Raw genomic sequence first — 23,010 nt, 5'->3', positions numbered from 1 at the left:
TTTCCTGGTTTCTGTTCCTGTTCAGTAAGGCTATGTCTTCTGTATACCATTAAGGATGCAAAACTCTTTTTCAAAAATTCCCGAAATGACTGGTTCCAGGAGGTTTTTCTGAGCCTTCAAGACAACCTTCTCTATTTTGCTATGGAAAAGTACCTATTATGCTTATAGGTAACATTGTATGAATTCACATTTTAAAAAATCTTTGAACAGCAGTATCTCAGGTCCTTGGTGTTTTTTAGAAGACATGTTGTACAGATGTCATTTGGTCATTTGCCTCTGTTCATTGTTCACTTGGAAGTTATTTCAATCTTTCTTTAGTTGGTAAGTATAGGCTAGGCCTGTTCCCAGGGTTTTGCCTACATCTTCTAGTGTTCTTCTCCCACAATAAGGTAGGATCTTCCTTGTCTTGTTTTCCGGTACTCACGAATTATAAGAAAGTTTACAACTCCAGCAAGCATTATTACCATGAGGCTTCTCACTGACTTAATGCTTCACATGTAGATCTCTAGGTTCTGGGATAGACTGTACAACTGTCATTCTTATCTCTTTCTTATACATTCCAGCATGGTTCAAGGGCAGGGACTAGAGTAGTACATGGCCTGCCTTACACATCAGTGTGCATAATACATAGGAGTGGCTGTGATTTTTTGTTTTTATTTTGTTTTATTGATATATTGATATATTTCGTTTCTCCCTGTGAATAGTTATTATCATACAGTAGTAATCATAGGGTATTTACAATTGCATGCTTTGCCTTAACTTGCCATTACATCAATTTTTTTGATATTGCTTCATAGTTCAGGTCAATAAACCTATATACATATTCTTTTAATGGCTCAATGATATTATACCCAGTTGTCTTTCAATTATTGAATTAACCACAGACCTTTGCTTTCTAGGGTTGGGTGTGTGGGCAACTGGTTGGAGTAAAATGTCTCCCTCCTGTTTTTTAGTCAGTTGGGGCTCCTTTGTTAATCTCGCAGAGTATGGCTATGGATGGCTCCCCACCTTGTTCTCATTCCAATTCTTTTTTATATAAATGCCTTTTAGAATCAAGCATAGTGTATTTCTCAGGCTTAGATTTTAGTAGGAAGTGGGAAGAGGCTGTACCTGGGAATGATGGCTGGTAGATGGCACTGTTCTTTGAATAATGAATTTTCACTTGCTATTGTTGATTTTATGGAATTTTGCCATGTAACCTTGTCTACATTTCTTAGCATCTATAAAAGTGGTAATTATTCACAATAGCAAAGACTTCGAACCAACCCAAATGTCCATCAATGATAGACTGGACTAAGAAAATGTGGCACATATACACCATGGAATACTATGCAGCCATAAAAAAGGATGAGTTCATGTCCTTTGCATGGACATGGATGAAGCTGGAAACCACCATTCTCAGCAAACTATCACAAGATCAGAAAACCAAACACCGCATGTTCTCACTCAGAAGTGGGAGTTGAACAATGAGAACACATGGACACAGGGAGGGGAACATCACACACTGGGGCCTGTCAGGGGGTGGGGGGCTAGGGGAGGGATAACAGGAGAAATACCTAATATAGGTGACAAGTTGATGGGTGCAGCCAACCACCATGGCACATGTATACCTATATAACAAAACTGCACATTCTGCTCATGTAACCCAGAACTTAAAGTATAATAATAATAAAAAAGTGGTAATTACAAAAGATGGTGGAGACTGTCAGTGATGCTGTGATGTCAGCTCTGTGAAGGGCTGACCAACAAGCTGTTCCATATTTCTCACTGCATGATAAATAATTTCTTTATTAACAATGAGCTTATTGCCACTTTCCTTAAGACTAAACAGCTAAGCAAGAATGCATTTTTGATAGTATGTAGTTGGAAACTTGTTTTAAGCCATAAATACCTCATGCACTAGTCTTTGCTTCAACCTGCAGTTCTGTCAAGATGGTACCTGACTTTGGAATAGAATCCACAGGGCCAACAGCACATGAGAATCTGGATACAGATGGCGTATTGTAGTGCAACCATGTCACTCAGTTGCGGAAGGATTCTGCTTAGGATGGGCAAACTACTGGAAACAGATGCATTTGTATAGGAGTGCCTCTTGTAGTCACACTGAGGCTTCCAGAGAGGAGTAACAACTTTTCTCTGCTAATTACATCTACTAGAGACTCACTTTATTTCAGGACTCTCTTGCGTGGCACAGAGATGATTTGGAAAAAGAATGTTCTGCTATACATCAAATGGCATGACTTAGCCATTTCACAGTATATACCTGTGCTGGTACCTCATATTGTATACCATAAATATACACATTTTTTACCCATAGCTTAAAAATAAATTAAAAATAATTTAGAAAAAGAAAGTAAAAAGAGTATTCTTTATTATATGTGGTTAAGCACTAGTGTTAATGTGTTTATTCATTTATAAACCACAGTTATGTGCTGTATGGAATTAGGATGGAGATAACCTGCTAGTTACAGCAGTAATAACATTATTTATTTAAAGATTTGACCAATTCTAATTTAATATTTAATGGCATATAATTAAGGAAAGTGATTACAGTCAAAACTGTGGAGGATTATAATCTGCTTCCTCTATGTTGTAGAAAGAAAAAGAATCTCTTTTCTATGAATTTTCTTGTTATTTAACATTGAAGAATTGTAATTAATAAGAGCATGCTGCAGATATTTCAATTATTATGAAAAATTCATTTCAGGAAGTATGGTCAATGGAGTGAGAAGTTCTCCAATTTCCATAACTTGACAAAACTTATTGCTTTGAAGAATTATAACTGTGCACTTATCATTGCTTTGAAGGCTTATAGCCCCATGTACATAGTTATTATCATACAGTAGTAATCATAGAGTATTTACAATTGCATATTTTGCCTTACCATTACATCATTTTTTCTATATTGCTTCATAGTTCAGTTCAATAAACCTGTATACATATTCTTTTCATGGCTCAACAATATTATACCCAGTTGACTTACTATAATACTATTGAATTAAACATTTATCCCTTGTGGGACATTTAGGTTGCTTTTATTTATTTATTTTTCCTTTCATGAATAAGTTTAAAATGCTTGCTTCTATAAAATTCAAGAATCATATTGAAATGAACTATTGCTCTGGCTACATATTTAATAGGAATATCAGCAAAATTAGTCCTAATGAAGCATCCAAGATTTACAAAGTTCTGCACAGAGGCAAACATAATCCCATAATTTTCTGATTAATTGGTTTAATCTGCAAAGGTGGTGATGGTAAAAGTGCTGTGAATGGATGGCACTGGAATAATGATAATAATGATGAGCACATCATCATCAACAACAATAATAGTGATAAAACATTTACTGAGCCCTTATGATACACCAGGCACTCTTCTAAGTGCTTTCTGTGTATCAACTTATTTGATCCTCACAGGAATCCTATGAGTAAGGTCCTATTATTATCTGCATTTTACAGAAGAGAAAACATACATAGAGAGGTGAATAATTCCCAGTTATTATAGAGTTAATATTTCTTGGATGCTTTATGTTGATGACTGTGTAACTGATTTACATGTATCCCTTTATTTAATGATCCCAAAAATCCTTATGAGGGGTATAATTAATACTGCAATTTTGTAGATGTAGTATTTGAAGCCAAAAGGGGCAAGTCAGGTGACTGAGGTCACAGTGCTTATAAAGATCAGAGACTCAAACCTAACTCTGCCTAATTCCAAAAGTCAGGCAAAAGCTGAAGTCTTAGCTACTAAGTTGTACTGCCATCATGGGACCTGAATCCAGTGAAGTTAAATGATTCACCCAGAGCTACCTTGTGAAGAGTAGCTGTCCTATACTGGAACCATGTCACTTCTCCCAGTTCAGTGTCCTTTCTGATACACTGTTGTGACTTCTCTTTTTTGTATCTCCCTTTCCCAAAGCTGCCTCTCTCTCTCTGTCTTCTCTTGCCTCACTCTTCTTTTTCTGTAGACTAGCTGTCTCTGCTCTGTTTGTACATGGATGATCATAGGCAGCCCAAAATGTGCCCTTGTCTCCCAGGTCACCAGACTTTCCAGCCAGTTGATCTAGCCCCTGTGCCTCAATTTCAGATTTTTGAGAATGAACAGTTTAATTGATCCAATCAATCCCAGGGCTTACCCAATCACCTGTGTTGTTGTGTGTGTGTGTCACATGGTACCAGGCTATGGGTGGGTCAATTTCTCTAAGATGGGTATATAGGCAGCAAAGTAGGGGCTGACATGTCATTATGTCACCAATTGGAACCAGGCAAAAATCCAGAGCTTTCTAAATAGGGGAAAGGGGCTGTGTGGGTCTTGTCATCCATCGGTGACTTCACTGGCCAGCCTGTGTACAAAATTCTTGTGTATAATTCTGCATGGAGGGGTTTAATGTCTGATAGTTACCCCTCCTCTGTCATCCACATGACCATTTCAGCAGCTGTCCTCTTTGCACCATGAGAACACAGCTCCGGGAAGTTTGAATTAGATTAATTTTCATCTTTGCCAATGAGGTGAGGAGGACTTCTTTATCTTGATCCAAGATTCAGCTGCCCTGCCATCCCTCTTTATTGTATAACAACAATGAAAACAGCTAAAATGACTTGATTTTGCACAGCTGTAGGAGGGCCTCCACCCTTTTTCTAATTTGGTCATATCAGGTGACATTTGGTAACATGCCTGTGTTGGCTACTGCTTCTTGTCTGGATTGGAAGATGAAAAAGATCAATGTCTTTCATTGTAGATATGTACACTCAAGGCACACAGATATACTAATTGGTAGTGCTTAATATGTTTTCAATTCAAAGAATTTGTACCATTAGAACTAACAGCCCTGGAGAAAAACAGTGGACTTTCTCCTCATGTTTTAATTGGGGTATTAGTAAAAATTCTGGCATCTGAAATGCTATTAAAATGCATGTCAGGAAATGTTTTCTTTTTTTCTTTTTCTTTTTTTTTTTTTTTTGTGACAGAGTTTCACTCTTGTTGCCCAACCTGGAGTGCAATGGTGTGATCTTGGCTCACTGCAACCTCTGCCTCCCGGGTTCAAGCGATTCTTCTGCCTCAGCCTCCCGAGTATCTAGGATTACAGCCACTATGCTCGGCTGATTTTTTTGTATTTTTAGTAGAAACGGGGTTTCACCATGTTAGCCAGGCTGGTCTCGTACTCCTGACCTCAGGTGATCCGCCCGCCTCGGCCTCCCAAAGTGCTGGGATTACAGGCGTGAGCCACCATGCCCGGCCTCAGAAAGTGTTTTTTTGCACTGATTCCAGTGCCTCAGCTGACTGTATTGCTTCTTTTAAGATCATTCAACTACATAATGACTTCTATAAATATTCTTTTTGAAATGAAAAACTTTGTCTGTAGTCAAAGTTTCAAAAAAATCTTTGATTTCATCAGGTTTCCCATTTTAAATGAAGATTTTAATTTTGCTGCACTGAATTATTATTTTTATCAGGGCAAAAAAGTAGTTAATCAAAAGGAATTGATTTTGCGATTTAAATACCTATATAGAAAAAAATTAAAGGAAGATATGAAATGTCTCCATTTCTTATGGGAAGACATTTAGGGGAATAATTTTGTGGGTTTCTTGGGTGTAGAAATGGTTTGTTTTCACTTGCAAATGTTAGAATTTTAAATTTTGTTAAGTCCCATTGGCAGCAAATATTGATATTTTGAAAACGAATTATTCCATTTGGATTTGTGCTAAAATTCTACTACTCGCATATTTTCTTTTTATTTATTAAATGGTAAAACAGCTCTGACAGCTCCTTAGAACTCTGCATGGTAGATGAAGAGTATAAGCTGTACACAGGGTGAGGAGGTAAAGGGTTCTGAAATAGCACCCTTGCATGTGCCCAAGCACTTGCCTGGTTATTTTCTTTCTGACATCTGGGAAGAGCAGCGGAGACCTCTGTGTCAGGACAATGAAGTTTTCCTATCAATGTCGACCTTCAGAAACTGACGTAATTGCTCTAATTTAATGCAGTTCAGCTGTCCTTGCATGTTGTAGCTTCCGTCATGAAGTTTTGCTTAAGAGTGGGCTTGTTTTTGTAGAAAGATGGGATGCGGGGGCGGGGGGTGGGGAAATGAATATATAATCTTTGAATCTGGATTTGCTTTTTTTCTTTTTTAAACTTAAAAGAGCTAATGTGTTTTCTAACTTACAGGCTTTCTGATTAACTTTGCTTAAACTTCTTCCATAGTCTACTATGGGGTAATAATACTACACTTGGCCAGATTTGGGGATTAGATGAGAATTTATACATGGAACACCTAGTATAGTGCCTGGCATACAGTAGGTGCTCCATGCATATTCGTTTTTCTCCATCCCTCCTCTCTATTTGAGTACCTTTTAAAATGGGACCCAAGAAGGCATCAATCCTCGTTTAGGTATCGTAAGGGTAAAATAACATATCCCAGACTAGATGGTGTAAAAGTTGAAGTCTTCAGTCACTTGATATCTCTACAGCTTTTAGTTGTTAGAAAATTTTGTTAAAAGGTTGAGGAGCCCATCAAGTTAAAAGGTTGAGGAGCCCATAAACTCAAGTTTTGAGTTTTGTCCTATGTCAGAGGTATCTACCCTTGCACCCCACTACATAGAGGGTCTGTAAAAATTCAGATGTGCCTGCAAACTGGTCAGCTTGGTGTAGATATTTTATCTGTCTATCTATCTATTTATGTATCTATCTATTTATAATAGATCTCTCTCTCTCTCTCGATTCTGTTAGTCAGGGTTCTCCAGAGAAACAGACACATAAGCTATACATAGATGTAGAAAAGAAAAGATTTATTTAACTATTGACTCACATGATTATGGAGGCTGAGAAGTCCTCCTTATCATTATTACCAAACTTTCTTCGTCTTTAATGTTTATTTCTTTGAAATATACTTTTACATTAATATAAGCCACTCAAGATTTCTTTTGATTATGTTACTGTGGGCTTTCTTTTTCTATGTTTTTACTTTAATACTATTTATGTCTTTATATTTAAAATGTGCTTTTTGTAGGCAACTTGTAGGTAGGTCTTGCACTGTTTAGTCAATCTGACATCTCTGTCTATTAATTGAGGGTGTTTAGGTCACTTACATTGTGAGTATTACTTTAGTTTGGTTTAAGGCTATCATCTTATTTGCATTCATTTGTCTCATTTGTTCTCTGTTCTTTTGTCTCTTTTCCATCTTCTTTTGTATTAATCGATATTTTATGATTCCATTTCATCATCTTTGTTGGCTCATTATCTGTAAATCTTTGTTTTGTTATTTCAGTGGTGCTTTGGGGTTTATGGTATTCACATTTAACTCTCTCTTTTGTGACCTCCAATTGTGCATGTATTGGACTTCTTGATATTCTTATTAATATTTTTAATTTTGGAGGAGGGTTTTTGCTGTGTCACCAAGGATAGGATATAGTAGCTATTCACAGGTGCGATCATAGTGTACTATAGCCTTCAGCTCCTGGGCACCAACAATCCTCCCACCTCAGCTTCCTGAGTAGCTGGGACTTACAGGCATGTGCCACCATGCCTGGCAATATTTTTAAATTTTTTAAAATTATTTTTTTCTGTCTGAATTTTATTTTGGATAATTTTTATTGTGGTGTCTTTTTTTTTTTTTTTTTTTTTTTGAGACAGAGTCTTGCTCTGTTGCCCAGACTGGAGTGCAGTGGTGTGATCTTGGCTCACTGCAAGCTCCGCCTCCCTGGTTCACGCCATTCTCCTGCCTCAGCCTCCCAAGTAGCTGGGACTACAGGTACTCGCCACCATGTCTGGCTAATTTTTTGTATTTTTAGTAGAGACTGGGTTTCACCATGTTAGTCAGGATGGTCTCGATCTCCTGACCTCGTGATCCCCCCGCCTAGGCCTCCCAAAGTGCTGGGATTACAGGCGTGAGCCACTGCGCCCAGCCTATTGCTGTGTCTTCAGCTCAACTAACCTTTCTTTCTGCAATGTTTAATCTGCCATCCAGAGTATGTTTTAATATCAGACGTTCTAGTGTCCATCTCTAGATCCTCAATTTGAGTCTTTTAAAAGGTCTTTCTGTCTCTACTTAATATTTTGAACTTATGGAATAGAGTTATAACTGTTTTAATGTCTTTGCTCCTTTGCCTCCCTGGTAAGAACTGATTAGATGGCAAACATTGCAAATTTTACCCTTTTGGGTGCTGGATATTTTTGCCTTCTTATAAATATTCTTGTGCTTTATTCTGTGATACAGTTAAGTTACTCAGTAACATTATGATTCTTTTGGGTTTTGCTTTTAAGAGTTTTATTAAGTCAGGACAATAGAAGCAGTTAGTCTTAGGCTAATTCCCCATCACTGAGGCAAGACGCTTTTGAGCACACTATCCAGTGCCCCATGAATTATGAAGTTGTCCAGTTTGGCTGGTGAAAACAGGCACCATTCCTGGCCCTACTTGAGTTCCCACTAATCCTTTTGGATGGGTTCTTTTTAACTTAGAGCAGTTTCCTCGCTGCCATTCACTGATCAATACTCTGCTGAATACTTGAGGGGGACCCTCTATAGACTCCTGGAGAACTCACTCTCTTTAGCGCTCTTCTCTTAGTATTTTTCACCAAGAACACTACCCATTTTGCTCTCCCCAGCCCTCCTCTTTTCTCCTCAACTCAAGGAGTCCATGAGGCTCTGCCATGGTTCCCTCCCTGTGTCACAGCAGTAAACTTCTTTCAAGGGGCTAAGCTAAATAATCTTAGGGATTACCTTGTTTTCTCCCATCTTTCTGGGTTCACTGTGCTTTTAGACTGACACGCTAATTTTTTTTGTAGCAGCTGTTAAGAAGTCTTTTATTCTTTCTCAGGAACTTTGCTAAGTATTTTCTAATTTGACAGTAGTTTCTTTTATTTAAATTCCAAGTGAATTATTTGAGTACAGATGAACTTCTGAATATAACTTGAAGTTCCAAAATGCTATGATCTTGTTAGAGTATCCATAGCACCTAAATGAAATATAACAAAAGTGTATTTGATTTTCACTCCCACCAACAGTGTATAAGTGTTCCTTTTTCTCCACAATTTCACCAGCATCTGTTATTTTTTGACTTTTTAATAATAGCCATTCTCACTGGTGTGAGATAGTATCTTATTGTGCTTTTGATTTGCATTTCTCTAATGATCAGTGATGTTGAGCTTTTCTTCATATGATTGTTGGCCATATGTATATCTTATTTTAAAAAGTATCTGTTCATGTCCTTTGTCCACTTTTTTATGGACATGGATGGATAGAGGCCATTATCTTTAGCAAACTAACACAGAAACAGAAAACCAAATATCACAAGGTCTCACAAGTAGTAGTTAAATGATGAGAATACATGGACACATAGAAGGGAACAACATATACTGGGGCCTTTCAGAGGGTGGAGGGTAGAAGGAGGGAGACGATGGGGAGAAATAACTAATGGGTACTAGGCTTAATACCTGGGTGATGAAATAACCTGTACAACACATCTCCATGACGCAAGTTTACTTACATAACAAATCTGTACTCGTACCCCTGAACTTAAAAGATTTTAAAAAGTGTATTTGAACTTAGCTAATAATATATGTTTCTTAATATGTCATCCTGCCTTTGAGAGCCCAAATGCAAATAATATTTATGTCTTGAATTGTTTTTATTGTGAAGGTTAAGAAAAGGAAAGGATTCTAAATCTAATTTATTTGTAGTTTAAAAATCAGTAAAATGATGAAACATGAGCAATTATTTATGTTAATGTGAATGAATATTCCAGGCTGCTTTTTTATAAAAATGTACTTTTTAGTGTATCTTTAGGAGAAGATCAAGATATGCTTGTGCCTTGTGGCTAGGTGTCTGTGTCATAACAGAAGTGAATTCAGCTCCTGATTTGATAAAGTGCTGAAATCAGTCAAAATGGCTCCTCTCTTCCTCCTTCTTTCCTGTTCCCACTCCTGCTGGACTACATCCCACCCCTTTCTGCAAATGCACACATCAATAGTTTTTGTGACCCTGGGAATCAGCCAGAGAATCCATAGAGCATCTCTCTTATTTAACAAGTGCCAGGGACCCAGGAACTGTAGGCAATAGAATAAATCTATGCTCTAAAAAAAAGGGCGAATATGTTGGGAAAAAATAAAAACACTTTAGGAGGCTCTTATCTTGTGGAGGGGCTCTACAAAGATATATAATCTGGCAGAAGATAATTGTAAAGATTAAATGCACTGCAAGAATTGCAAGTGGCCGGGAAAACACTTCTTCAGGCCTTCTTAGAAGCGCTTGCTGTACCAGAGCCAGACACTGCTCCAAGCTTTCCCAGGATGACATCAGTTTCAAGTGCATAAGCACAGCAGGAAAATGCAAAATCTGAAATGTTGAGTTTCAGGTGTTGTTGAGAGAGCTGGTGTGGAACTTCAGAGGAAAATTGAAAACATGAGTCTGTTTCTTAGTTCTGTTAGAGAGCTGTGGTCCTTCTTTGTACAGAGGAGGTAAGCAAAGCTTTGAGAGAGGTGGTGCACAAAAGAGATAGAACTTTATGGCTGTACCACTGCATATGATATGGAGCAATTTAAATGTAAATTTTCTAAAATAAGTAAAATGTAAAATTCAGTTCCTCAGTTACACTGGCCATACTCAACTGTTTAGTAGCTACCTCCGGCTAGTGGCTGCTATATTGGAAACCTATTTCCCAAAATTTGGTGGTAAAGGGAAAGCAGAAGATAAGACTGCAACTAAATAGAACTAAAAGGGTGTAGTCATTTATAAAGATAAAAGAAGAGTTCAAAATATCCTGTAGAAACATGGACAATTAATATAACGTGGTCTTGGGAGAAGTATCAAGGGATGAAATGAGGTCAGGTAGAGACTTGATTGAATCTTGGCAAATAAAAGAGCACAGAAAAAAAAAGTGGGTAAGTGGAGACAGAGAGTAGAGAGTTGTGAAGGGGTTCATACTGGATGGCTTGCTCTTCTTAGTGGTGTAAGTATTGGGCTGGGAATGAGGTTTTGTTCTGAGGAGAATAGAGAAGGTTTGCGTGGCTACCATACAAGGATGTGTGTGGCTTATTAAAGGATACCCACCTAGAGGGATATGGTCCATGTCAAATATTAAAACCCCTTGGCCGGGCATGGTGGCTCACACCTGTAATCCCAGCACTTTGGGAGGCCAAGGCTGGCAGATCACGAGATCAGGAGATTGAGACCATCCTGGCCAACATTGTGAAACCCCGTCTCTACTAAAATACAAATAAAAATTAGCCAGACAGGGTGGCGTGCGCCTGTAGTCCTAGCTACTTGGGAGGCTGAGGCAGGGGATTCCCTTGAACCTGGGAGGCAGAGATTGCAGTGAGCCAAGATTGCGCCAGTGCACTCCAGCCTGGCAACAGAGTGAGATTCCATCAAAAACAAACAAACAAACAAACAAAAAAACCTTGCCCCACAGGTTTTCTGTCTGTTCTTCTTCACAGTCTCAGACTCTTGTCCCCAGAACTCCAGTGGGACTTATAAGCCACCAGATAGGAGCAAACTTTTCAGCTGTGCACAAAGGGGCAGATAGCACATGAGACAGACTATGTTTGCAGGCATTTACTTTCTAGTTTACAGTTGACTTTTATTCTGGCTTCTTCTTGACTAATTTTTGATCATAGACCACTCAGAACAGCACCTCTGCTTCAACCAAATGCAGCACAATTTAACCATAACATTGCAGAATGACATTTTTTGGTTAGGCAGCAGAAGTATTTCCCTTAAGTGCAGTTTCCTTGGTGAAGCCACTTCACCCCAGCCCAGCCTTCTTCCTTCAAGGGTTGTACCTAAAACTGGGTTTGACACCCACCAACTGGATGAAGGTGGGGTGCTAGAACCTTGAGAACCCTTTGTTCAACCAAGTTATTGTTATGCTTCTCAGGGTGGGGAGCAAAAGGAAACTCATTTCTAATGCATTGTTTGGGCCATAAAGGGAGCCACTTCAAGCTGCCTATTTTTCCCAGCGATGCATTTTTAGTGTTTGATGAGTTGATGCGTATAAAAAAAAGACTTTGCTCAAATTAAGACGGTCAATCCCTAATCAACTCCTTTTATGTTCTTGGTCAGTGTTTATTAACAGTTCCTTAAAATGTAAAGCTTTTATGGTCCCCAGGATTACATATATTTGATGCTTTTAGGATATATTCATTTATTGACACTCAAAAATAGCCACATTCTATAGGAGATCTACTATGTGTCAGGCCAACTTACTTTCTAACTCACAAAATGCTGCAAAATAGGAATTATTTTTTCCTCTCTCCTCACTCTTTGTAAATACATGAGAAAACTGAGGCTTAGAGGGATGAAGAGAGAGCTAGTCAGTGGTGAAGCTTGGAGTGAATCTCAGGATGTATGATTTCTAAATTATGCCATTGCCCCTCAGTTTTCTGACTAAAAGTGTGTGGAAAACACCAGATCAGCTGCCTTTCTGATGAAAAATGAAGCCTATATCTTCTGAAATTAAGATTCTGGCACAGAAAGACATAAAGACTATAAATATAGGCCAGTGATAGCAACAATACTAATTAGATGAAATTAAAGATGCCACTAGGCGCTATGTTCAATATCACCTTACAATGCCCACTGGCAAAGGTTCTCCAACTGTGACCTACAAAATGCCAGTGTTTCCTAGGGTAGTCTCATATAATATTCAAGATTGTTTAGAGTAAAGTATTTATTCAACAAATACTTGCTGAAAGTTTGTGCATTGTATTCCCAACATCCAATTGGGTACTGAGCTCTAGCTGCTGAGGACACACTGTGAGCAAAACAGAAGCAATTGTATCCTCAGGGCGTTTATAGTCTAGAGGGCCATGCAGATATTATTCTAATTGAGTCAAATATAAAAAGAAAATAACAGTTGTCATTGTGTCTGGAGCTAATTCGCATTTTGCTTGTGAGATTCTTCTTGGCTGTCTCATTAAATCAGCACCCCTCTGCTCATTTATTCTGGCGAAACATTTCTTTTTCAGCCACAAATAGGAGGGAGGATCTTTGGGGACTTCTGCCATGGTAGGATGGTCTGCAAACTGAAGATATTTGAGAACCACTGAACTATAGCAAGATTCTTTGAGAATTGCATTAGGGAACATTTCAATTGCCTGTCTCTTTTTCTCAGGGTTTGTATGTCTGCAGGCAGAGAATGTGAAGGCCAAGGTCAAAAAGCAGTTAGCTTCAAGCTTAAGTGGGAGAAATCAGTGTTGCCTGATTCCAGAAAACGCAAAAATAGATGCAAACTTAGGTATTTTTATCTTGCACCATATATGTTAAATAAATGTTTATTTCTGACCACACAAAAATCTTTCCCTCTTGAGAGCAATTATCTGCCTATTAAGGCTTCTATTCTTGGGATAGTGAACTTGAAGCTTTAACTGGGTTCTTAAATCTTTATGCTAAAAGCATCCTACATATTTTCCATTGGAGTGTGGAGGTAAGTGTTTATTTAAAGAGGCCAAAAGGGTGCATCCTGCTTGAGCACAGGCTCTAATGTTAATACTATAATTTATACTCTCCTCTTATGCATCAATGGCAGAAAGCACTCTGTTGTTCAACTCTGATGTCCCAATCTTTATATGGACTGAATGCATCATTTTGAGCAAAAGAAGATTAAAGATGTTTTGTTAAAAGAAAGACATTTGGCTGTTAAAACTGGGCATCTCCCATTGGATTCCAGCCTCTCATAAAACACAGAAATAAAAATAAAAACAAAGCAATGAAACATACAGTTTATTCCTAAATGCTGTGGACTCCAGACTGTCACCTACTTGAAAGGGGGCAAAGCAAAGGAGAGGACAGAGCTTGAAGCTGGAAAAGAAAAAAAAATGTAGAACTTTTGTTAATGTATAGGCATTCAACTCCCACTGTTCATTAACACACATATTGCTAACGCTTGGCAATGAAGCGGACATTTTTCTTGAGTGGGGTCGAAAAACTAATTATTCGCCATATGGTGGTTGGCGCAGCAACAATTGCTGAAGCCGTGGAAGCAAAGGGAAGTTGGCCGAGCGATTTCTTTGGGCAGTTTGCACAGCTCTGACTCTCTTGACATATGCCATTCACGTGGCCTCTGGAGAACAGATGGGCTGGGGCTGGGAACGCAGGGGAAATCGTGGCTGGGATCTAGTGGCAGCCCTGTCTCTTTATCCTTCAGAATGACTTGGAGTCACATGGTATGTGAAAATAACAAGTGGGGAATTGTACTCAGAGGATTTCCCTGCCTTCTTTTATAAAGCCACAGCGTAATTTTGACTGCCTTTTCGTATTTTGTTTATTAAAGGGATCAGGGTTTTAGATGAAAGAGATTCCTTGGTTTTGGGTAGGGTCTGGTCTATGCCAATGACACTTACTCATTGTCAGTAGGAAAAATGCTGGCAGTTTGATAAGGGATAAGAAAATAGAGGGGTTTTTAAATTAAAATTTAAATTACTCCTTATTTGTTCTCTTCCTGTTTGTAAATCTCACATAGGCAAGTTAAGATAAGAGCTGGTTTAAACTCAGGATACGCCAATCTCCTGAAATGAGTTTGTGTGGGTTATTATAATTTTTTTGTTCTTCAGAGGTTCTGATGCAGCAAAGTTGGAAGTAATATGAACATTGTACAGGCACAACTTGGATGCTTTTCGGATTTTACATTGTCCCAAAAGAAACAATATGGAAAAAGGAGGTGAAAGTTGCCAATTAGAAATTAACTCAGCATTCATATGCATAAAAGTACAGATTAAGCTAAAATTGTTCACACTCAGTGACTTAAATTTTAATTAAGAAGCAGCGCTTGAAGTTAGGGCACTGAAGTCATAGCCCCAGGCAGGCACTTATGCTGCTGTTATAACTCTGGTTCTTGTAGTAAATATGAGGCATTGTTCATGGTCTTAATTCTGGAGATTGATTTCCAAAGCTAACTCCCCACAAAGAGAAATGAGTGTCCTGGATACTTATGACAGTGACTCACATTTTGTGTGCTTTTGAAAGCAAAGTGGCTTGATTGAAGAATTACAGGCCAAATTTTTTTTTTTATCTTTTTACATTTTGAAATTCTATCTCTGAAAATTTGGTTCTAGTACAACCAGATAATATTGAAAGAGGACCCTGATAATTTTTCAACTCATCTTGGATGTGATGTTCTGAGTTTTTAGAGCCAGGGCACAGTTTATCTGCTATAGCTATAAATGGAAAAAAATGGTTTTATTCTTCTTTGTTTCTTCCTTGCTTCTGAAATTGATTTTTAACTTTCAGTAAGTCTAATATAATTTAACTATTTGGAAAATTAAAGCTGTGTTTTTCTAAAGAGTGAGCTTTGTAGTTCCTTGTTATGTGAATTAAAGTCAGGTAAAATTCTAGTTTCTGACAATGGCAATAATGACTGACATTTATTGAGCATTTACTATGTAACAAATACTCTATAAAAACTTTATACATATGATCTCATGTAACCATCACAACCACACATGTGGACATTGAGACCCAGAGAGAGTAACTAACTTGCTCAAAGTCAGATAGCCAATAAGGAATGGAGAAGCAATTCAAAACTAGGTCTGTCTGATTTCAAAGTTCATCATCTCAATCACTCTATTATACTGCCTCTTTCTGAAGGAGAAATGTGGCAACATTAGAGGTTGTGGTAATGAGATGTAGAACCTGCTCAGACTGTTATTAGGCGAATGTCCATCACTCTCTTCTTAAATTTGTGCCATTTTTTTTAAAGGCCTGATGGGACAAGCATAATCGGCATTTTTCATCTTCATTGCTTACTATCTGAAATTCTTCTCTTTGTCTGCTAAGCCTTCGACTTATGTGTTACACAGTTTAAAGTGGCTTCCTAAATGTTCGTTTGATTCTCAAAACAGAGGGGCAGACCTGCTAATCCAGGGTCAGCAAACTTTTTCTGTAAAGGTCAAGATAGTAAATATTTTAGGATTTGCAGGACATTGGTGGACTGGATTTGGTCCATGGGCTATAGATTACTTACATCTTAATTACATCTGTAAGGAACCTATTTCCAAATAAGGTCACATTCACAGGTACCAGCAGTTGGGACCTTTACATATCTTTTGTGGGGACACAATTCTACCCAGTACGTAGCCTGGGACAGGCATTACTGAGGATACATTGGCAGACAATCTAGACACAATCTTTCCTTTAAGAAGCTCCTATTGATCTGGAGATAGACAAGCTCATAACCAAAATATTTTCAGGTAAGGATGAGTGCTATTAAAGAAAATCAAACATGGTCACAGCACTAAGACTCGGGTGGCTATTACAGCTGGTTTGTTGAGGACTTTTAAAATGGGTGTGTCAGCTGCATCTCTGTGCTGTTCTCAGTCTCCCATTTCATATCCCCAATCTAGTCTGCACTTCACTGTCTAAGAAATTGGCTCAAACACCCAATTGTACCACCCTGACTTATGCCTTTGGGAATCAATTTACATGGTGAGTGTGCTGGACAGGATACCACTTACTTTATGAACTTGGAGCAAGTTACTTTAAAAGAAAGCTTCAGTTTCATTACGCGTGAAATGGAATGATGGTGAATGTTAAGCATGCTAGTGTGTGTCAAGTGCTAAGTCCAGATCCCTGCACTTAGGTCCTCAGTGAACAGTCACTCCCCATTGTGAGCATGGTTTCATTTTGCCTTTTCATTCTCTTTCTACACCTCTTTTCTTTATACTTCCCTTTGCTCAAACCACTTTCATTGTCATGCTCTTAATTTCTGCTTCTATATATTTCCTAGAATTCCCTTCTCCTAATTTCTATTAATCAAGGTCCTCCCCATTCTCCAGAGCCCAGTTCCATTGCTGTACATTTTCCCCTGTTCTCACTATTGCATAGAACCAACTCTTCCTTGTTCTAATTCTCCATAGGAGTTCATGCTTCCTGCCTATACTGCTATCCTGTGTCTTCCCCCTTGTGGGCAATGACTATAGATACCCTCCTTATCTATTTAATTCCATGTATCTAGGCTGCTGACAACCTTGCCAATGCCCAGCCTCCTGAGAGGTGTCCTGTGTCCGGCTGCCGCGCTGCGTGGTCTCAGAGTTGTTTTGTTCAATTTTGCATTGTCTCTACACCCTGCAGTCCTTCAAGACACAGTTACCTCTGCATTGTAATTCTTGTCAACCCTCTACATGAGTAAACTGGGACCACATGTTCCTCCTCTGTTCCCCTTCAGCTCCCTGGACTTGCCTTACCTTTACTTCTTGACAGTGTGTGGGAATTAATGTCCTTTCACCAGACTGTAAAGTCAACAAGAGCAGAACCTTGCACAGTCTCTGCCACAAAACAGTTACTCAAACATTTGATGAAGGAATGAAGAAATGAATGAATAATTCCTTGCAGTTGAAGTAGCTGATGATTGGATCAGGGTTAATCATGAAATACTATAGATGGTTCTCGACTTTACTGATGGCTGGATTTACAATTTTTTGACTTTATGGTGGTGTGAAATCATGGCAATATTGACATAATATACAATATTCAGTAAATTTCATGAGCTATTCAACACTTTGTTATAGAATAGGCTTTGTGTTAGGTGATATTGCCCAACTGTAGGCTAATGGAAGTGTTCTGAGCACATTTAAGGTAGTCTAGGCTAACCTATGATGTTCAGTAAGTTAGATATATTAAATGCAGTTTGACAGGATATTTTCAACTTATGCTGGGTTTATTGGCACATACCTCATAATAAGTCAAAGAGCATCTGTATATCTTTTATTTAGAGAATTGGTTTATTTTATTAAGAAAAAGCCATGTATTAGCAGTTATGAGTCTTAAATATCATTCTAGGCTCCCTGATTATCTTTGGCTACTTTCTGTACTTTTGTAAGATAAATATTTATTCAGTAGCGGACTTCAATTTCATTTGCCTTATCAGGTATTTGCTGTGTGTTAGAACTGTGTTTGAAGCTGTTGGTGGGATATATTAGTCATATTCTCTTTCCCTAAGGAATTCATAGGCTGTGGTAAATATAGATAGTCCTTGCAAACAAGAGAATCCAGGTAAGAACATAGAGAACTATAATTCAAGATTATATAGGTTGTGAAAAGTAAAGCTCTGTGGGGAGTTAGAACAGAGAGGGCCACCAAAAAATAATACTCCTGGAAAGCAAGAGATAAAGATTTAAGAAGAGTTGTGATAGCGGACAAATGGCCTTTGTCCTTTCACATAGAGTCATGCTTTTCATGGCCGACTATCTGAAACAAATTCAGTCCCATATACTGCCTGTATGTTCTGAACCCAAGTAGCCAACCACTTCAGGTTATAGCTAATGGTTACAGATTATCCAGAATTTAACACTGAGGGATTTATTGAGACTAATGAGACTAATCCTGTTAGAATTCCGTATGTACCGCTGGGAGTAATTCCCGTACCTCCAATGGAACTCCCTCCTCATTCTTAAATTTGCAAAATAAGATAAAACAATATGACAATTATTAGTGGCATTTAACACAGATACAGTCTCTAAAACCAAGAGCCACATCCTTTGTACACAGGTTCATCTGGAATTGGGTAGGCTTATTAAATTCTTTTAAATAGATTATTAAAAGTAACTGATATAATCCCAATTAAACACTATAAAAATAATAAATAATGCTTGCTGTCGGTCTGAATGTGAAGAAAGATATTATAAAATTATGTGAGGGTTATTTGCTAATTATACTTCATGTAATACTTCATATATTTCTATAATTGAAGGAGTAAATGAGCAAAGGAGGTCCCACAACATTTTTCTCTCTCCAAAAATCTTCAAAGAATATGTATTGGCATGGGAAATGTCTAATGATGTGAAAAATAGAATACTAAATTATCTGTATTATTATAGTTATAATACAGATATGTCAGTGGATATACATATGTGTCATACAATTTATGTATATAATATTAATATATATTTATCACAATTTTCTATTAATATTTGTCTATTTGTAGCAATAGAAAGGGGGAAAGCTGGAATAAAAACAGCACAAAAATGCTTATAGTGGCTATGTACTTTTCCCCCCTTTTCCTTGTCTTTTCTTTGCCAAATTTTGTACAATGAATATGTAGGCTTCTATCATTAGAAACTAAAAGCCTTTGTGTTTTGTAAAGAGCAGTGGCATCATTTAGTTGAGTCTCTTTGGGCCTTTTTTTTTTTTTAAGCAGGCCCGAGTCCATATTCTTAACACACAAGTGAGATTTTTAATTCTTTTTTTAATTTTAATTTTTATTTTACTTTAAGTTCTGGGATGCATGTGAAGAAGGTGCAGATTTGTTACATAGGTATACACATGCCAGGGGGGTTTGCTGCACCTATCAATCTGTTGTCTAGGTTTTAAGCCCCACATGCATTAGGTATTTGTCCCAATGCTCTCCCTCTCCTTGCTCTCCACCCACCGACAGGACCTTGTGTGTGATGTTCCCCTCCCTGTGTCCATGTGTTCTCATTGGACTTTCTTAGTAACCATTGAAACTATAAGGTGACATGCTGGGAGATGTTAAAAATACTTTCATAGAAACATATGGCCCCTGCATGATGAAAAGGATAAAATGAGAGCCTTCTCTGTGTCCCTGATGGGTTATGTGCCACCTCCTCATACTGCCATAGCTCTGAATGCATGCCTGCGTCCCTGCCATAGCTCTGAATGCATGCCTGCGTCCCTGCCATAGCTCTGAATGCATGCCTGCGTCCCTGCCATAGCTCTAAATGCATGCCTGCATCCCTGCGCTTATCACTGCATGTCACCATCTCCTCTGAATTTATTTTCACCCTCACCAGATCAGGATATTCTGAAGGGCAGGAACTGTGCTTTAGTTATCTTCATATTCCCAGTATTTGAAATAGTACCTGGAATAGAGTAAGGGCTCAATCATTATTTTAAATTCAGAAATGTTCAAGAATACAGAGGAGGCACATCTCTCACTCCTTGCAAGGTACTGAACTCCCACTGTTGGAATTAGGCCATTTTCACTTTCACCCAGACAGACTCCCTTCCTCAGCTTTCTTTCAATAACATGGCTTGCATACTCCTGGAGATGGAAACCTACTGCTCTGAGAGGTCATTCATTTCACTATGGCCCACTGGTATTTACTGGAAAGTTTATCTTTCTAGAGAATAAAAATGTTTTCTGTTCAATAAATGCTTTCACTCAATGGAACTGAACTTTGTGGAAAGGATTGAGTTTTGGGGGAGGAGAAGAGATGCATCTTCCTATTGTGAAAGAGGAATTTGCTGAAGAAATGGTGAAGGACGTACTGGATGAGGATGACTTTAATAAAATCTTGTTTTCCTATATGATACTATTTAATATAGCTGACATAGATTGAATTTGGATATAGGATAGTTTGTTACTTTTATCTGCTCAGCAACTAATATTTCATTTTTTTTTTCAAGTAACATCTCCCTCCTCCCGACTCTCAGTTCCTATAACTTGGGTGGGGCTAAGCCTACTCCTAATTTCCAGCAATGAAATCAGCACATAACTTGAATGAGTCCTATTAGAGCATTTAGTTCTCCCTGCATTGTGATATTGGTTCAGGGGTCGATATCTGAAGGCAGGCCATAAGATGTTATCTTTGCATTTTTGCTGGAACTATTGAAAAGGAGGGATATTTTTCCCTTGATGAGATTGCTAACATGTTATGATGTTGACCTAAAATACTGGTGACCATTTATCACCATGAAGAAGGAGGCTGCTTGAGAATTAGGCCAACCTGAAAAAAATAGTGCTGAGAGATGGAGTCAATCCTAATGATATCACTTCTACACACTTGAATTCAGCCATTTCTGAGTCAAGATCTTCCTGGAATTTTCAGTGCAAAATAACAAACTCAATTTTTTGCTCAAGCCCATTTGAGTTGGATTCTGGTTACTTGCAATGAATGGAGTCCTGTTTAATACAGAGGAGGTCTGTTCTTACTCTTTCCCAGATACTGAATTTCTAGTGTTGAAAATGTCTTTGGAATTGACATTTCCATTCTCTACCAGAACAGACTCCTTTCTTCAACATTCATTCAATTATTTTAACAATATGGCTTGCATACTCCTAGAGATAGATGCTGTGAGAGGTAATCCATTCCACCACATCCTACCTGTATGTATGGTAAATATTATCTTTCTCCAGAGAATCAAAATGTTTTATCTGGTGACTTCAACACCTGGTCTTAATTCTGTCCTCTAGAGCAACAGAGACTAGAGGTTCTTTTTCTTTCCATATTTGTATGTCACTATAAATCATTGCCTTTCCTCAACCAACCTTACTTTCTCCAGACTGAATATCACTTCTTACTTTTATACACTTTTTCTCCAAGTGTGGTCCACAGACAGCATTTTCAGATATAAATCAGTCTATTATTTAGATTTTTTTTGTATCAGTATGTCACATGCAATATATTCATGGCTTTTCTGAAATTCAGGTTTAACTTGGTTTCCTATATAGTTTTATTTGTTAAATTTGGCAACCCTATGCCCAGAATACCTGTATTGGAATCATGCTTGGGGCTTCTTACCCAAGAGGTCCTGACACAAAAGCTGTACTCTCGTTCACTGAAGCTTGAAAACCACTTCTTTAGGGAGAAACTCGAGGCACAGGGGTAGGGAGCAGACAGGAGAAACCGGAAGGTCCCAGCCCGAGTATTCCAGGAACCTGGGATCTCCAGCTTCCAACTGCTGTGCCCCTACCTCGTCCCCTCCCTGCCAGGAATGTAACTATTTCTTATACTCCTACATATCCTACTTTGGGCATTCTGTTATTGATTAATGTTCCAAATTTTGAAACTCTTAAAATAAAGCAATTTCTAGCAATATGTATTGAGTGCTTTTAATATGCTGGACACTGGTCTAGGCAGTAAACAAAAATGCCAAAGACCTTGCCTTATGGAGCGTACATTCTAGTGCAGTAGCCAGACAGTAAACAAGTAAACAAACAAATATAATTTTAGGCAGTGCTAAGTCTTATGAATAAAAGTAAATCAGGAACAGGGTAAGGAAAGAGCAGTGCAGTTCAGAGGTGTCATTTTAGAAAAGGTGACCAAAGAAGGCCTCTCTGAGGACATAAGTTTTGTGCAGCTTGAAGGAGACAAGAAGATTGAGCCAATGTCAATGTCTGGGAAAGTAGCATTCTAAGCAGAGGGAACAGCAAAAGCATGGAACCTGGGTAGGAACAAGCTTGGAGCAGTCAAGAAGCAGGAAGAACGCCACTGTGGCTGGAGTGGAGTGCAAAAGGCAGAGGGTGGTAAGGTATGTAAGTAGAGCGGTAGGAAGGGGCTAGATCATGTAGGGCCTTGTGACCATAAAAATAAATCTTAATTTTTCTGTAAGTGTAATGGGAAGCCATTGGAAGGCCTTGAGCAAGGAAGCAACAGGATCTGATTTAGCTTTTAAAAGGATCCCCCTGGTGGCTCTATGGAGAATAGACTGAAGAGTCTATGAGTGGCCGCTGGACCTTGGTTGTGAGGTTATTGCAGAAGTCCTGGCTTTTATCTTTGACAAGCCTATCTTGTTCTGCTGAGCTTCTTTCAATTCTTTCAAGAGCCCCATAATATAATGGTGAAAGAATATTGGTTCTGAAGCCCAATCACCTTGTGTCTGAATCCTGACTCTGTCAATTAGTAAGACATTAGCCAAGATTCTTAACCACCATGGGCCTTGTTTTCTTTATTTGAAAAAATGGAGGGTAATGATAACCTCATCAAATTGTTGTGAGGAAATTAAATTAGTTAATACAAGTAAAATAGTTTGAACTATTCCTGGCACATCATGAGTGTCCAATAAATATTATTATTGAGCACAATGTACTCTTTCTTGTCTTAGGATGCTATTGTTCATTTTTCTCCAATTCATCAGAGAATCGCTCATTCTCTGATGCTCATTCTCCATGCTTTAAGTTGTCACAGGAAGCATGCTCATTCTCCATGCTTTAAGTTGTCATAGGAAGCCCTCCATATCATTTCTGCCACGTTCTGTTGGGTAAAACAAGCCACAAATCCAGCCCAGATTAAGGAGGAGGAAAACAAGCTCTATCTTAATATGGGGCAATGTCACAGTGCAAA

General features: G+C 38.3%; 1 protein-coding gene across 43 annotated transcripts in view, besides 1 other annotated feature; it reads left to right on the top strand.

Annotated features, from left to right (window-relative positions):
• C12orf42 (chromosome 12 open reading frame 42) overlaps positions 1 to 23,010 on the top strand; it is a 516,167-nt gene that overhangs the window by 215,056 nt on the left and 278,101 nt on the right. The window lies entirely within an intron of this gene.
• Positions 11,707 to 11,866: a silencer, noted in NCBI's record as "fragment chr12:103730647-103730806 (GRCh37/hg19 assembly coordinates)". NCBI's record gives its function as "represses an EF-1alpha promoter that drives an FKBP-Casp9 reporter gene in an ReSE screen in K562 erythroleukemia cells {active_cell/tissue: K562}" and the evidence as "EXISTENCE:reporter gene assay evidence [ECO:0000049][PMID:32094911]".

The sequence above is a fragment of the Homo sapiens genome, chromosome 12, assembly GCF_000001405.40.
Source record: "Homo sapiens chromosome 12, GRCh38.p14 Primary Assembly".
Lineage (NCBI taxonomy): Eukaryota > Metazoa > Chordata > Mammalia > Primates > Hominidae > Homo > Homo sapiens.
The sequence above is the reverse complement of the archived record's forward strand: the minus strand, read 5'-3'. Positions and strand labels throughout refer to the sequence as shown.